At 34.4% G+C, this 16,120-nt stretch overlaps 1 protein-coding gene across 59 annotated transcripts in view, besides 1 other annotated feature; it reads right to left on the bottom strand.

The window, feature by feature from the left end:
- The window catches only part of CSNK1G3 (casein kinase 1 gamma 3), a 104,873-nt gene that overhangs the window by 65,111 nt on the left and 23,642 nt on the right, over positions 1 to 16,120 (bottom strand). For 27 of the 59 annotated variants that reach the window (XM_047416765.1, XM_047416768.1, XM_047416757.1 and 24 more), the window contains one exon: positions 6,098 to 6,522. The exons of 8 other annotated variants lie outside the window; for them this stretch is intronic. In XM_047416765.1, the coding sequence (XP_047272721.1) occupies positions 6,098 to 6,275 (178 nt within the window). In that variant the 5' untranslated portion in view covers positions 6,276 to 6,522. Of the gene's footprint in view, positions 1 to 1,636; positions 1,712 to 6,097; positions 6,523 to 8,266; positions 8,955 to 16,120 lie in introns of those variants that run through there. 24 more of the 59 variants (XM_017009060.2, XM_017009059.2, XM_047416755.1 and 21 more) reach the window with 7 other exon arrangements.
- Positions 2,078 to 2,217: an enhancer, noted in NCBI's record as "active region_23006". NCBI's record gives its function as "activates an Ori minimal core promoter by ATAC-STARR-seq in GM12878 lymphoblastoid cells {active_cell/tissue: GM12878}" and the evidence as "EXISTENCE:reporter gene assay evidence [ECO:0000049][PMID:35858748]".

Genomic DNA, 16,120 nt, shown 5'->3' with positions numbered 1-16,120 from the left:
GAAGATAATTTGATTAATGTATAAGTACACTAAAAAGAATGAAAAAACTGTACAATATGATTTCTGAATTTCCAGTATTTTTTCAATTAGCATGTATTACTTTTATAGTGAGGAAAACAAAACAATGATAGTTTTTTGGGGTTTTTTTTAATAGTGAGAGTAACTGGCCCTGGTCACATTGGCTACTGAACACAGAAGAAGCAATCAACAACTATGACACATGTGATTTTCCAGCATAATGGCCTGAACCTCCTTCCATACAGCAGCTGATGAACAGTAGCAAAACTTCTAGGCAAAATTTCAGCTTCAGTTGTGTTGCCACCTTTGTACAGTAGTGTTTATTTATACAAATATTATAATACTTTTCTGAATTTTGTCCTTATTGTACAAAATTGAGAGAAAATAAAGGGCAAAAAAGAAGTATTCATATTAACGCTAAGTAACATAGGTGTCATAAACTCAATACAGTTGGCAAAAAGGATGGAACTCAACAGAAGTTCCAAAAGTGGTCAACTTTAAGCTCTATTCATATACTCATTGAACCTATATACATATTTTTAAAAATTACGGAATATTTCATATTTTTAGTCAATTAGTTCAATGTTTAGATGTGCCTTCATATACATTTTCAAAAATGCATTATGAATGAAAAGTTAGGTTTCCTCTAGTAAACTTGGCAGTAAATAATTTAATGATATTCACAATGAAGAACTTGATGTCAAAGAACATTAACAAAAGACAATTCTGGTTTTGAGTTCCAAGACAGAATTTTTATTTCCCAAACATATTATCATCTTTTCATAACTATTTTGTATATGATGTTTATTCACAAGTACACAAGGAAAAAATTTCACAGGACAAGAAGTTAGGTTAACTACAGATCTCAAAGAATCAAAATATAACAAATGCCTCTAAAAGTACTATTTTTGTTGGCTTTCATACCTTTGAGGTCACAGCAGAAAGCACTAAATCCTAAAAGGATCATCTTTTTTTGAATACTAGAGATGTTGCTGAAACTTGAAGTCACAATTATGAACAAAGATTAAACAATAACACAAGTGCATTTTTGTCACCTAGCATAGCCACAGCCTCACTTTTAATCAGTATTTGTTATAAACATAAACAAACAAATGATGCACAAAGTATGTGTTTATGTATGGTGTGATTGAAAGGGAGGGAATGTGCATGTAGTGAGAATCCCATTAAAAGAAAAATCCAAGTAAACTGGTGCCGGTTAAGTGATGTTTTAATCCAATTTTAAAAGACATTTCCAGTAAAGCATTGTGCCATATTAAACTTGAAAATATAGTTTTACCAATTTTGTGGCTTTGGGGTGGTAATTATCAAAAACTATGTTCTTCAAAAACTACACATATATGTTTACAGCAGAAACAACTATTTACCCACCAATAGCCATTCTCCCCCTACAGAATGCCCAAGCTTGAAAATGGCTGCCCAGCTAAAGACTACATTGCCTGCCTCTCTTTCAGCTTAGTGTGGCCATGTGACTTAAGTTCTGAATGTCAGTAGACATTAAGTATGTTCCTCCTCACTTCCAGAAAGGAATGTATATGCTCCTGCCCCTTTTTTTCTTTATTCTTCCTGGCTGGGAGATGGAAACAGCTAAAGCAATTACCTTGTGCACAGAGACGGAAGTCACATATTAAGGATGCAGAGGTACCCTGACAGCCTTCGGGTTTCTCCCTCTGGTCTGTGTCGTGTGAAATGAAAATAAACCATTTGCTTGAAACCACTATATATTGGAATTTTTCGTTACCGTCTTACAGTCTATTCCTTAGTTATTACATTTTTCAGGTAAGTTTTATAATAGCTTCAGTTAGAAACAGCAGAAAAATCAATAAACATGAAAATGATGAACCCATCCAAATCTACATATTCATTTGATACATATAAGGCCTGCAGAATTTTCAACAAAGCAACTATCAAACATAAACAATAAAATAAGGAGTTATTAGCTATGTAGGAATAAGAAAAGAAAAAACAAAAATAAGAGATGTTATGGAAGCTCCTGTGGCATACTTAATTATGTCAAAAGTTACAATATCTTATTTCAGGTATGGTTATTCATTAAACAATACATAATATTCTCTTCTGTGCTCTTTTATGATAGACAGATGTGGCCACAGAGCACAAAGGAAAGTCCCTCATGAAAACAAAGGTTACTATACTTAACAAATTCTAAACAGGAAGTCACATCGCATGCCACACAGGGTCACAGGGGAAACACTAGGTTTTGGTTAGGTGGCAGAAAAACAAGAGCAAGCGGAGTGCCTAGGCCAAAGCATTTACTGGGGTTTCCCAGCGAAAGGCAATGCAGGGCAAGGTAAATGGTAAAGGATTACTTAGTTTGAATAATTCCAGTGACTTTTGGGCTATAAGAATGGGTCTCTAGCTTCCAGGTACCTGGCCCTGGGGAAGATAAGGTAGAGGAATATTGCCTCTTGGGTGTATGGGCCAGATAGAAAAGGAGTGTGGATTGGTTAGAGCACATATCATAGGCATGCTCCCAGCTGAGTTTTTGGCTAATTCTAAGAATTGGCTAACCTCTGGAGGGGTAATCTCTTCCCAGCCAGAAAGGTTTTTTAAGATGTCAAAACATCATAATATACAGAAAAATAAAAATACATATATAATACAACCCTATATTTTAGCTAGCTATGTTTGGTCTTATTCAGTGCCTGTCAAAAACATTCCTAGGAGTTTGACTGCCTAAACTAGAAATACATCTACCAATGGCAGAATGCAAACCTTACTACCAACACATAAAATAAAACTACAAACACAGAAGTTCTCAACTATGATGGTTCAATTTGAGATATTTCAACTTTATATAATGATGCAAAAACAACATGCATTCAATAGAAATCATACTTTGAATTTTCCTGGACTAGCAATATGAAGTATGATACTATCTCTCTATGCTGGGCAGGTGCAGTGAGCTGCCGCTCTCAGTCAGCCACACAATCATGAGAGTAAACAACCAATATTGTACAGCGTACTGTGTTGCCAGCATTTTCTGGATATTGTGTTTTGGGGTTTCCAATGTCATTATGTCTATAAAATGCCCATTTTCAACTTATGATATTTCAACTTAAGATGGGCTTATCAGGATGTAAACCCATCTTAAGGAGTATTTGCACATCAATTCACCTTCCTTATTATCATTTTTTTTTTTTTACAGACAGGATCTCACTATATTGTCCAGGCTAGACTCAACCTCTTAGAATCAAGCTATCCTCCTGTCTTCCTAACTCAGCCACTCCACTCCAGTAACTGGAACTACAGGCATGCCCCACCACACCTGACTGTTCATTCTAAACGAAAAACAGAATCCAGATAAAAATGATAAACACACGTATTTAAATTTGAAAGCAAATAAATAAATATAATTTAAAATTATTATTTCAAATGTTTACCCATTTTTTTTCATCTCATGGCCTTTTTTTTTTTTTTTTTTTGAGACAGAGTCTTACTCTGTCACCCAGGCTAGAAATGCAGTGGCACAATCACAGGTCACTGCAACCTTAAACTCCTCAGCTCAAGTGATCCTTCTGCCTCAGGCTCCTGAATAACTAGGACTATAGGCATACACCATCACACCTGGCTAATTTTTAAATTTTCTGTAGAGATAGGCTCTCACTATGTTGCAGAGGCTGGTCTTGAACTTCTGGCCTCAAGCCACCCTCCTGCCTTGGTCTCCCAAAGTTCTGAGATGATAGATGTGAGCCACCATGCCAAGCACCACAAGTCTCAAGTTTTAAATGCCCTGCAATGTCTGGGACAGTATTCTACCCCAAAAAAGAACTGCCCAGCCCCAAATACCAACAGTACCTTTATTGAAAATCACTTACCTATAACATGTATACCTTATAGTCTTTCTTAGCCAATACTAACCATATAAAATTTCAGTACCAGTAATCAAATGTTCAAGATGTATCTATTAATGAGGTTTTAAAGAAAGTACTTTAAGAATATAAACCAGCTTTTAACATTAGTGTTTATCCAGGTATAGAAAGATTAATGCTCATAATAACATTTTCTTAACAAAGAAACCATCTGAGGCTTTTTGAAAAAGCAGTAAAATACCCTTTTAGAAGTCTATGAAAAAGGAAGAATAAATGATTAAATTAGCTCTATGCGTACATATTATAAGTATACATAAAACACAGATATATAGAGATAATACATTTAAATAAATTTAAATAAACATACACAGATATATATATACACACATCAAAGACCCATACACAAATTAGATAGATAGAATAGACAGACAGATGTACTAAGAAGCCACGATACTCCTATTCCTGCTTATTCACAGACTACAAAAGAAAGGGGTGCTTTACCTCTTTTTCAGTATATGACATATATAGCTTCAGTATATGGTACATACAGTTTCTCATATTTCTCGTATTGCCCTTGTTAAAATGGTCAACTAGCTTTGTGTGAATACACACACACACACACAGACACATACCTATATACATGTGCCGTGTGTGTATATATGTGTGTGTATTCACACAAATACATATGTATCTGTGTGTGTGTGTAGTTATTTTGAAATAAATTATATGAATCAGATTCTGAATAAAAATGGCCAAAGTATATGCAAGTATAGTGTTGGTCTTTTTACAGTATCATCTAAATTTAATCCTCACAATAACCTAGGAAGTGGTAATAATCCTGATATAAAGAAAAACGTGAAGCCCTGAGTGGTTAAATGACTTATCTGTTCCATAAGGCACTATTTTTATATTTTACCAGCATATTATCAATGTCTAATCATGCCTGGTACATGATAAATATGTAATAAGTACTGGATGGATGTTGGTGAGAATTATACACAATAATAACAGATTATAAACACGTAAATAATGTTTTCTCTAACTCCAAAGTCTGAAACAATTTAAGAATTTCATAGTATCTAATTCAATACCCTTCAAATAATAAAACATAAAACATTCACCCTTTCAAATATTTGAGTCCCTACTAAATTTGAGTCTGCCAGTCACATCATGTAACAAGTATGTATAAACTATATCATTGCCTTTTATTGGCTTGCTTCATTCAAATATTTAATGTGTATCAACTTTCCAAAACTAGTAAGATGAATGAGTCACTACAAATTAGGGTACTTCACAAGATGAAAAGAAGAAGTAGTTGAATACATAAACATAAAATTGGATTTATTTCTAGCAGCAGGATTGAATCTAAAATAAATTGAGAAGTCAGATTTTCTTTTTACATCTAAAGTTCACTCTTGGTGGTCCACTGACCAGAGCCCTCCTGGTACCTGAATACTGACTTCTATACAACCATTATAACCATAACACCCTCCTTCTTAGTTTTTTGCAATGGAAAAGCTACATCACTACTGTACTGGAAGTTAAAATACCTAGATTTTGATCCTGAGCTTGTTATTCAATTGTTGTGAACATCTGACAATTCATTTTCCCTCACTGAGTTCCAATTGCCTTGAATATAGAGTTAGGAAGCTTAATTAGACCAGTGTTTCCCAAACTTGCCTAATTATAATAACCTGAATCAATACTCTGAGCCCCTTGTTAAGAATATAGACTCCTGAGCCCCACCCCAAACATACTTGGGGCAGAAGGAAGGGTAAAAGGAAAAAATTAAATTACAATGATGTAAATTTCATTAATTGTATGCAGTTTCAGTATATTAACTTGACTTTAAGCCATACCTATGCCCCAAAAGTTATCAATTACTAAACATTTTTGAATCTGAAAAAGTGGCCTAAATATCATTCCTAAAGAACATTGCAAAGGCTTTACTGGCAGCTATTTCAGCCTACTGGGCTATTTTAATTTAATTGTTTGTTTTCTCATAATCTGGATAGTCAATCTCTGGATGGCTAAAGTAGACACTCCTATACTAGGGAATTCCTTACACATGAAAATACAACTACAAAAGAAATTTCCAACATCTTTATTCTTTAAAATTACCACAACCATTAAACAACTAAACAATTAAATAACTAAATCATTTTCATTAAAAAGTATCTTCCAATTTTTAAAATGTTTCTAACATAATGGAATAAACAAAATAGTCTTACCTAATCGTAATTCTCCAAAATTGCCACATCCAATTTTTTTTCCAACTCTAAAGTTAGGTCCAACCATTAAAACTCCAGACGATGAAGACCCAGTTCCTCGAGTGTTGTGTCCCGATCGACCACTAGGTCGTGCCATTCTATCATCTGATTTGTCCTTGTCTTTCTTTTTATTTTCCATATCAAGTTTGCGGTACTCCACTTTGAATTCTTTAATCAAGACAAGCACACTGAAACAGGGTATTGTGAAAATAGGTACATCACTAGGTAACTGTACCAGATGGGTAATGTTAACATTCAAATTGCAGTAGGTAGTCAATTAACTGGAGCATGTTCATCCCATTCGTAAAATTTTTCTTAGTGTCTTTTCAGCAAAACATGTCTTCAAAATTATCTTTTCAATGATGTGAGCTGATATTGATAGAGAGCTAGAATATTAAGAAAAGGAAATTAGTCAACTAAGAATTTTAAAATATATGTCTGGGAAATTAGATAACATAACAAAAGCTTAGGCAAGAATTACTGCTATCTATTGATGCCCATTGAAATCAAACCACAGTATACTTTTAAATTAACCACTACCCTTTATTTATATACCTTAATAACAAAGATACGAAACAAAGATATCAGGGATTCAATTACTTCTTAAAAATTAAAGGAACAAAATTATACTGTTTCATAAATCAACATACATTCACTAATATAAACCTCCCAACTTAAAATTACCTCAATTAGACAAAAAGTACTCAAAAAATTCCAGTAAGTCAACATAAGATTTTCAATTTAAAAGTAGAAAGAGAATGAATTATAAAAATAAAATACCTTAATAAAAATATATTCCCCATGTTCATATACTTAATAATTTTCAAAGTCTTTTTTAAATATATATTATCATATGATTTTCATTTATTCAAGTATTACCTTATAATTACACATGGGATTGGAGCATAGAACTGACAATATCAAGAACATTCTTCCCACCCCTCAAAGAAAACAATTAATTCTTATATAACATTTAACGTGGGCCTTAAAAACATAAATGTAATTTCACAAGACTGTGAAATGTTGACAGGCATCAACCTTATCAGATGCAGAAATTAGGTATTAAATTTCTAACATGCAGATAAAAACATTAAAGCTCAAAATATTTTTCAAGGCTTTTGGAAGAGTCTGCCCCATTCATAGTCTCTGGGAATTGCAGTGATCAAATGTACCTTAATTCTGTGGTAATTCTGCACCTTTACAGGATTTCCCTACTTTTGTTTGAACAAATTGAGTGGGCTATCATTCGTTGCTATTAAAGAAGTTATAAATTCAAAATATAGTCACTAATGAAGAAACAAGGATTGATATCAAATACTTATTCCTATTACAAAAATTTTCTAATTATATAATGCAACCATAAAAAGGGTTGAAACGGACAGTATTTTCTGATTAATTTTCAGCAACCCCCAAATATACAATTACTGTTACAAGTAGTGACTAACTGGGGCCGGTGGTGTAGGCAATAAGGGAATTTACCAAGACAGTTGGTAAAGAAAGGCAGGCTTATTAGAAAAAGTAGGAAAACACTTTGCAAGAAAGCAATGGGCAGATGAGCAAGAGAGGAGCTGACTGAAAAGAGACTAAGGCTTGGTGGGGATTTTATAGGATCGTTCTTGTGCTGGAGAGGGCTATGTGCAGTACTGGTAACGCCAAGGTTGCAGTGAGCTAACCTGCACTTTTCTATTAGCAGAGGGTCTGGTGATAAGTTGCGTATAGGAAGACTGTGAGTTTTTTGCACAGGAGGACTGTGAGATTTTTGCACAGGAGGGCTATGTGTCCTGGACTGTGAAGAAAGGCAGACTTACAGTTTATCTGTTTTTTCTTTTTATGCTCCCCTGCTCCCACCAGCCTGACTCCTTTTCCCTAATTAGGATTCCACCATTAGTCCTAACACCCAATCTATTTATGAAGTTTCTTGTTTTATTTGCCATATTCTTATTTGCAGATGAAACTGAGTTCCTGTTTACTCTGCTTCTAGCCATGACAGAGTAACTATACTGAACATCTCTGCCTGTTGTAAACAAGTAGAAAGCTGGACAAAACATATGAAGCACCTGTTTTTAAGCATCAAATAAAAGGCAGCACAGACTGTGATCCCTTAGAAAAAACACAAAAGGTGAGTCGCACCTTCATCCAAGCTCTCTGGCTAGGAGCAATTTCCTGACCACAGCACAAAGAGGTGAGGCTCAGGCAACACACAGTGATCACAGATCAGAATTTGCAGCTGTTGAAGTAAATGGAATTTGTAGTACACAGTATCAAAAATGAAGGAGTTTTGCAGTGGAGTGGTGCGGTAAGGTGGTGGTAGGGCAGAAGGCTAGGCTACATGTGTACAAGGGAATAGTCTAAAAAAACCGAACAGAAAATAGTTACTACAGTGTTAAATGAAGAATGGAGACACTAGAAGCTGCACAGAACTGAGAGACTCTAAAGTTCCTATTCAGTCATAGCAGAAGAACCTCACTAATATCCCAGGCATTCAGCTCAGAGGCCACAAAAACTCTTAAAAGTAAGGACCATACCCGACATAAGGCCTACTCTAGACTGTCCCAACTGAAGTCTAAAACTAAACCTAGATAGGATTCAGAGTAGCTCTGAGCACATTAACTGCATTCCAGAACAAAACTCAAGTCTCAAAAAGACAAAAAGCCAGACTCTCAACAACACAGAATTTCCAATATCCATGACACAACTAAAAATTACCAAACATGTAAAGCAGCATCAAATGTAACCCATGGTCAAGAAACAAAGCTGTCACAGGAGACAGACTCCAAGATGACCCTGATGTTTGAATTAGAAGATACGACTTTAACACTAGTAAATAGCTGTTAGAGTCCTATTTAACCAGAGAAAAAGAAGAGGGCGGAAAAAAAAAAAACGAATAATAGCTAAAAACTCCCCAAATTTGGTAAACACACACACACACACACACACACACACACACACACACTAAATCTAGGCATATCACAAACTGCTAAAATCCAAAAATTTGAAAAATCTTGAAAGCAGAGAGAGAAAAAAATACACGACATACAGCAGAACTAACTTCTTATCAAAAACAATGGAGGCCCAAAAGAAAATGGAAGGATATTTTCAAAGCAATGAAAGGGGGAATAAAAACTTTCAACCTAGAATTATTTTTCCCCTCTTTTTGCCACAGGTGTTGATCAATTCAGAATTCTACATCCAGTAATATTATTCTTCAAAACAGGGAGAAAAAAAGCCATTTTTGGATGAAGGGAAGCTAAGAATTAGTTGCCAGCAGACCTGCACAACAAGAAATGCTTTTAAAATAGTCCTTTAAGCTGAAGTAAATCACATAATATCAGATAGAAATTTGAAACTTTAAGAAGAAATCAAGAGCAATGAAACTAGGAAATGCATGAGTATTAATTTCCTTTAAAGATAAATTACTATTAAAGCATAAACAATTTCTTAGTGTCATATATAACAGGTAGAAGTAAAATATATGACAACATAAATGGCAAGGAGGGGGAGTTGTAAATGGAACGACACTGTTTTAAGATTCCTTCTTGAAAATTATTGAGAGAAGATTTTAAGTCTTCTCACCACATACAAAAAAAGTAAGGTAATGCATATGTTAATTAGCTCTATTTAGCTATTCCACAATGTATACTTATTTCAAAATATCATGTTCTACACAATAAATATATATAACTTTTATTTGTCAAATATATAAAAAGAAAACAGATGGGGAAAATATTCTATTTGTGAAGAATTATGTGGTTCCACATTCATTCTAGGTAGCCAATGATAAGTTAAAACGCACATTTTAATACCTAGTTCAAACAATAAAAAATTAGTTACAATAGGAATAGCTAAAAAAACAGTACAAGAAATAAAATGGAAGACTAAACATTACTTGGTTGAAACAACAGAAGAGAAACAAAAGACATACAAGATAAAACAAATAGCAAGACAGTGGACTTTAAAACATACATAAAATGAAATAGACCAGATTTTCCCCCAAAAAGAAAAAAATTGTCAGACTATATAAAAAAGCAAGACTCAACTACAAACTGTTTACAAGAAACTATTTTAAATACAAAGACACAGCAGTGGCTCACAACTGTAATCCCAGCACTTTGGGAGGCAGAGGTAGGTGATTCGCTTGACCTCAGGAGTTCAAGACCAGCCTGGGCAACATGGTGAGAGCCTGCCTCTAATAAAAATACAAAAATAATAAGCTGGGAGTGGTGGCACACACCTGTAGTCCCAGCTACTTGGGAGGCTGAGGTGGGAGAATGGCTTGAACCTGGGAGGCAGAGGTTGCAGTGAGCTGAGATTGTGCCACTGCACTCCAGCCTGGGCAGCAGAATGAGACCCTGTCTCAAAATAAATAAATGAACAAATACAACTATACAGATAGACTGAAAGTTAAATAAAAGAAAAAGATATACTGTGTAAATAGCACATATAAGAAGCTTGTGAGGCTGTATTATTATTATACAAACTGGACATCAAAACAAAGGATTATCTACAAATTTACAGAGGTGCATTTCATAATGATAAAAATATCAATTCAACAGAAAGACATAAAAACCATAAATATGAATGAGCAAAACGAGGCAAAACAAAACTAAAAAGAAAAAAGGCAATCATTGTTACAAATTTTTTAATAGCATGATTTCAGTAATCAACAAGGTATAAGACAAAATATCAGTATGTATATGGTAGATCTAGATAATACCATCAACTACCTTGAGCTAACTGCCATGTATAAAATACCGCAAAATAAAATTCCCTTTCAATGCTCACCAAGAAAGATCATATGCTGTGCTATAATTTAAATCTCAAGTCACTAAAATATTACAGAGTATATTTAGTCAAAATAGAATTAAATTAGAAATCGCCAGACTTGTTGGCTCATGCCTGTAATTCCAGCACATTGGGAGGCCAAGGTGGGTATATATCACTTGAGGTCAGAAGTTCGAGACCAGCCTGGCCAACATGGTTAAACATGGTTAAAAATACAAAAATTAGCCAGACGTGGTGGCACATGCCTGTAGTCCCAGCTGCTCGGGAGGCTGAGGCAGCAAAATCGATTGAACCTGGGAGGCGGAGGTTGCAATGAGCAAAGATCATGTCACTGCACTGCAGCCTGGGCAGCAGAGCAAGACACTGTCTCAAAAAAATAAAAAATAATTAAATTAGAAATCGACAGCTGTATAGCATCTAGAAGAGTCCCAAAATTTGAAAATTAAACACACATTTAAATAATTCAGGAGTTGAAAAAAAAATCACAAGAGAAATTAGAAAAAAATCTAATTTGCAATTCTAATGCTTAGCAGAAAACTAGAAGCTTTAAATGCCTATATTAGAGAAAGTTTTTAATCGGTGATCTGGACCTTCTTCTTAAAATAGCTAGAGAAAAGAGCAAATCAGACAAGAGTTGAGGAAGTACTTCAATAGAGTTATCACTAATACAGACTTATAGGAAAATATAGTCTTAATGAGCAAAAAATGTAGTCTTAATGAGCAAAAACAGGAATTCTCAGCTGATAAACGGAAAAATAAAACAGAAAAAAAAAGAGACCCTCAAATAAAAACTGTCATATCTGAAATGAAAAACTTCACTAGATACACTCAGTGGCAAACTGGATAAAGCAGAAGAAAGTGTCAATAATTTCCAAAGAAATTATCCAGAGAGGAAAATCAACAAAACAGAAAATAGAACACAACAGAAAAAATAAAGACAAAAACTGATTCTTTGAAAAAGGTCAACGAAATTTCTAACTCTTAGCAAAAATGATCAAGAACAAAAGAGAATATACAAATTACCAATAAGAACAATGAAAGAAGGGATATCAAAATGATCCTATAAATACTAAAGGACAAAGGACTATGAGTAACTTTAGGCCAATAAATTTAATACAGATGAAATGGACAAATCCCTTGAAAAATGTAACACAGGGATACAAGGTAAAACAAAATATCAAAAGTTCCATATCTATTTTTAAAACTTAATCTATTAAAAAAAAGTATTCCCATAAAGATGATTTCACTGGCAAATTTTATCAAATATTAGGAAAAAGTAATACTGTTCTAAAGCTCTTTCAGGACACAGGAATAATCAATTTACTTTGTGAGATCAGCACAATCCTAATACAAAAGCCTGACAAAAACAATTCGAGCAAAGAAAATTAAACCTGCATTTCTCATGAGCATAGATACAAAAATTCTTCACAACATAAGCAAATATGTAGAAAGTTTAACAAATAATAATCAAACAGAGTTTAATACTAGAAATGTACCACTGACTTAACATTTGAAATCAATGCACTACCAAACTAACAGAAAAAAGAAAACCCACAGGGATAATCTTTTTTTTTTTTTTTTTTAATCTGCTCTTTCACCCAGGCTGGAGTGCATTAACACAATCACAGCTCACTGCAGCCTTGACTTGCTCAGGCTCTGGTGATTTTCCCACCCCAGCCTCCCGAGTAGCTGAGACCACAGACACACACCACCACACTCAGCTAATTTATTTTTTTGTACAGTCAAGGTTTGCCATGTTGCCCAGGCTGGTCTCAAACCCCCAGGCTCAAGCAATATACCCGCCTCAGCCTCTCAAAGTGCTGGCATTACAGCCCAATGAGATCATTTCTACAGACAAGAGATTACGTTTGACAAAATTCAACCCACAACCAGGCGTGGTGGCTCATGCCTATAACTCCAGTACTTTGGAAGGCAAAGCCTGGAGGATTGCTTGAGGCCAGGCCAGGCTGAGAAACAAAGCAAAACCCCGTCTCTACAAAAATGCATTTTTAAAAAATAATAATTTGAAATGGATCATAAACCTAAATACAAATACCAGAACCATAAAGAGGGGTATCTTTGCTATCTTAAGGTAAGTAAAAATTTCTTAGAAGACGCTAAAATCACTAATCATTAAAAATCTTAATAGTCATCAAAATTAATCATTTCTCATCAAATGATAGCTTTAAAAAACAAATACAAACACTTCCAAATGGGCTAAATTATTTTATATGAGTGTGTATAAATACGCTGCAACTGAACAATAAGAAAAACAACTTTTAAAAAAATTATTATACTTTAAGTTCTGGGATACATGTGCAGAACGTGCAGGTTTGTTACACAGGTATACATGCGCCATGGTGGTATGCTGCACCCATCAAACCGTAATCTACATTAGGTATTTCTCCTAATGCTATCCCTCTCCTAGCTCCCCACTCCCCGACAGGCCCCAGTGTGTGATATTCCCCTCCCTGTGTCCATGTGTTCTCACTGAACAACTGCATTTTTTTAAATATAGAAACGATCTGAATAGACTCTTTTCACAAAGAATATATACAAATTGCCACAAAGCATATGAAGCACTGCTCAGTATCATTACTTGTCATGCAAACATAAATTAAAACCATAATGAAATACCATTTCACACCCATTAAAATAGCTAACATTTAAAAGACTGACAATATCAAGTGTTGGTAAGAATGAAGAACTGGAACTCTCAAAAAAGTGCTGGTGGGAGTAAAAAATAGTATGACTTTGGAAAAAAGGTTGACAGTTTCTTATAAAGTAAAATATACACCTATCCTATGACCTAGCAATGCCACTCTTAGATGTTTACCCAAGGAAATAAAAATGTATGTTTACAAAAAGACTTGTACACTAATGTTTACAGCAGCCTCACTTATAGTAATAGTCAAAAATTGGAAACAATCCAAATGTGCATTAACAGAAGAATAAACAAATTGGTATAGTCATATAATAGATGACTACTCAGCATTAAAAAGGAACGAACTGCTGATACATGCAACAATATGGTGAATTTCTCAGATATTAGACTGAGGAAAAGAAGTCAGGCATAAACAATTACCTATTACATGATTCTAGTTATATTTGGCTCTAGAACCAGCAAAACTAAGCTGTGGTGATAGAAATCCTATCAGCGGTTAAGTAGGGTGGTAGGAAATTTGACTGTAAAATGTCATGAGGAAACTTTCTGCAGGAAAGAAATGTTCTATATCTTAATTGGGAGGAAATACATGGATACATACATTTGCCAAAACTCATCAAACTATATTTAAAATCTATGCATTGTATGTAAATTGCATCTCAAAATATGATTTTTAAAAACAACTGCCCCCATACACACATAAAAAACTGCGTGTTTCATCTCAACATGTATGTTTTCCCCAGCACACCATTACTATAAAACTTAGCTTTTATGCTACGTTTTGTACAAATCTATGGGGTACATATACAATTTTGTTACATACATAGATTGCATATGGTCAACCTCAGGGCTTTTACCATCACCCAAAACATGTACATTGTGCCCACTAATTAGTTTCTCATCATCCCACTCCCTCCCACCCCCTCACCCTTCCAAGTCTCCACTGTCTATCATTCCACTCTCTAAGTCCATGTATAAACATTTTTAGTACCCACTTAGAAGTGAGAACATGTGATATCTGACTTTCTGTTCCTAGCTTAAGATAATGACCTCCAGTTCTATCCATGTTGCTGCAAAAGACATGATTCACTCTTTCTTATGGCTGAATAGTATTCTATTATGTATATATACTACATTTTCTTTACACATTCATCCTTTGATGGGCACTTAGGTTGATTCTATATCTTTGCTATTGTGAACAGTGCTGCCATAAATGTAGGAGTGCAAGCATCTTTTTGACATGTGGATTTCTCTTCCTTTGGGTAGATACCCAGTAGTGAGATTGCTGGATCCAGTGGTAGTTCTATTTTCAGTTATTTGAGAAGTCTCCATACTGTTTTCCATATAGGTTGTACTAATTTACATTCCCACCAACAGTGTATAGGAGTTCCCTTTTCTCTGTATCCTCGCCAACATCTGTGATTTTTTGTCTTTTTAGTAACAGTCATTATGATTGAAGAAAGATGATATCTCATTGTGGTTTTAATTTGCATTTCCCTGATGATTTGTGATGCTGAATATTTTTTATTATGCCATTGGCCATGTGTGTATCTTCTTTTGAAAAATGTCTATTCATGTCCTTTGCCCACTAATAGGATTATTTCTTCTTCTAATGCCACTTTTTTAACAATTAATGAACTTAATATTTTATTTTAGAAGTTTTATTTGACATATAATTGTACATATTTATGGGGTACATGGTGATGTTTCAATACACATACTATATAGTGATCACATCAGAGTAATTAGCATAGGCATCATCTCAAACATTTATGATTTATTTGTGTTGGGAACATTCAATATACTCCTTCTAGCTATTTGAAACTATGCATTACTGTTAACTATAGTCCCCCTACAGTGGTATGGAAAACTAGAACTAATTCCTCCTATCTAGCTTTAAGAAGCTTTTTTTTTTAAAAAAAAAAAAAAAGCCCTTCATATTTTTTCAATTTAGAAGGAAATAATTTTCTTTTGGCAAATTTTCATGTTATTTTAAATATATAGCTTTTTATTTATGTTTAATTAATCAAATATCAAAAAAAGTATGCTACATGTAATAAGAATTCCAGTATTACAATGAAGTAAAAATATCCCTTGGGATATCCATACCCCTTGTCTTCCATCCCACCTGCCCTTGTCAGAGAGAATCATTACTTTTCATTTGATGTGTATGCTCCAAAGCTTTTAATGCTTGTGCATGCATATAAATACTTATGTACAGAAATATGTGTAGGTGGATTGGTTCATTTTACATAAGAGGTCCATATGAAGCCTCTGGAGAACCAAAACTGTTCCACAATAAAAGCATTTAAAAGCACATAAAGGACTTTTGCCTTTTCCCTTTCCTATTCCTTCCCCTGACATGAACCCTAGAGGAGCAAGGGGCAGCTAATGAATGGGAGAATGCAAGAAAGAAGAATGAAGAAACAACAACTACTTCCCTTCCTCAAAAGAGGATCCAGAGTCAAGTGCCAAGTCTGAAACTAGGAGGGAGAGAGAGGCAGAAAGAAGTGATGAGTTAGCTTAAAATTGAACAT

The sequence above is a fragment of the Homo sapiens genome, chromosome 5, assembly GCF_000001405.40.
Source record: "Homo sapiens chromosome 5, GRCh38.p14 Primary Assembly".
In the NCBI taxonomy this organism is placed as follows: domain Eukaryota; kingdom Metazoa; phylum Chordata; class Mammalia; order Primates; family Hominidae; genus Homo; species Homo sapiens.
The sequence above is the reverse complement of the archived record's forward strand: the minus strand, read 5'-3'. Positions and strand labels throughout refer to the sequence as shown.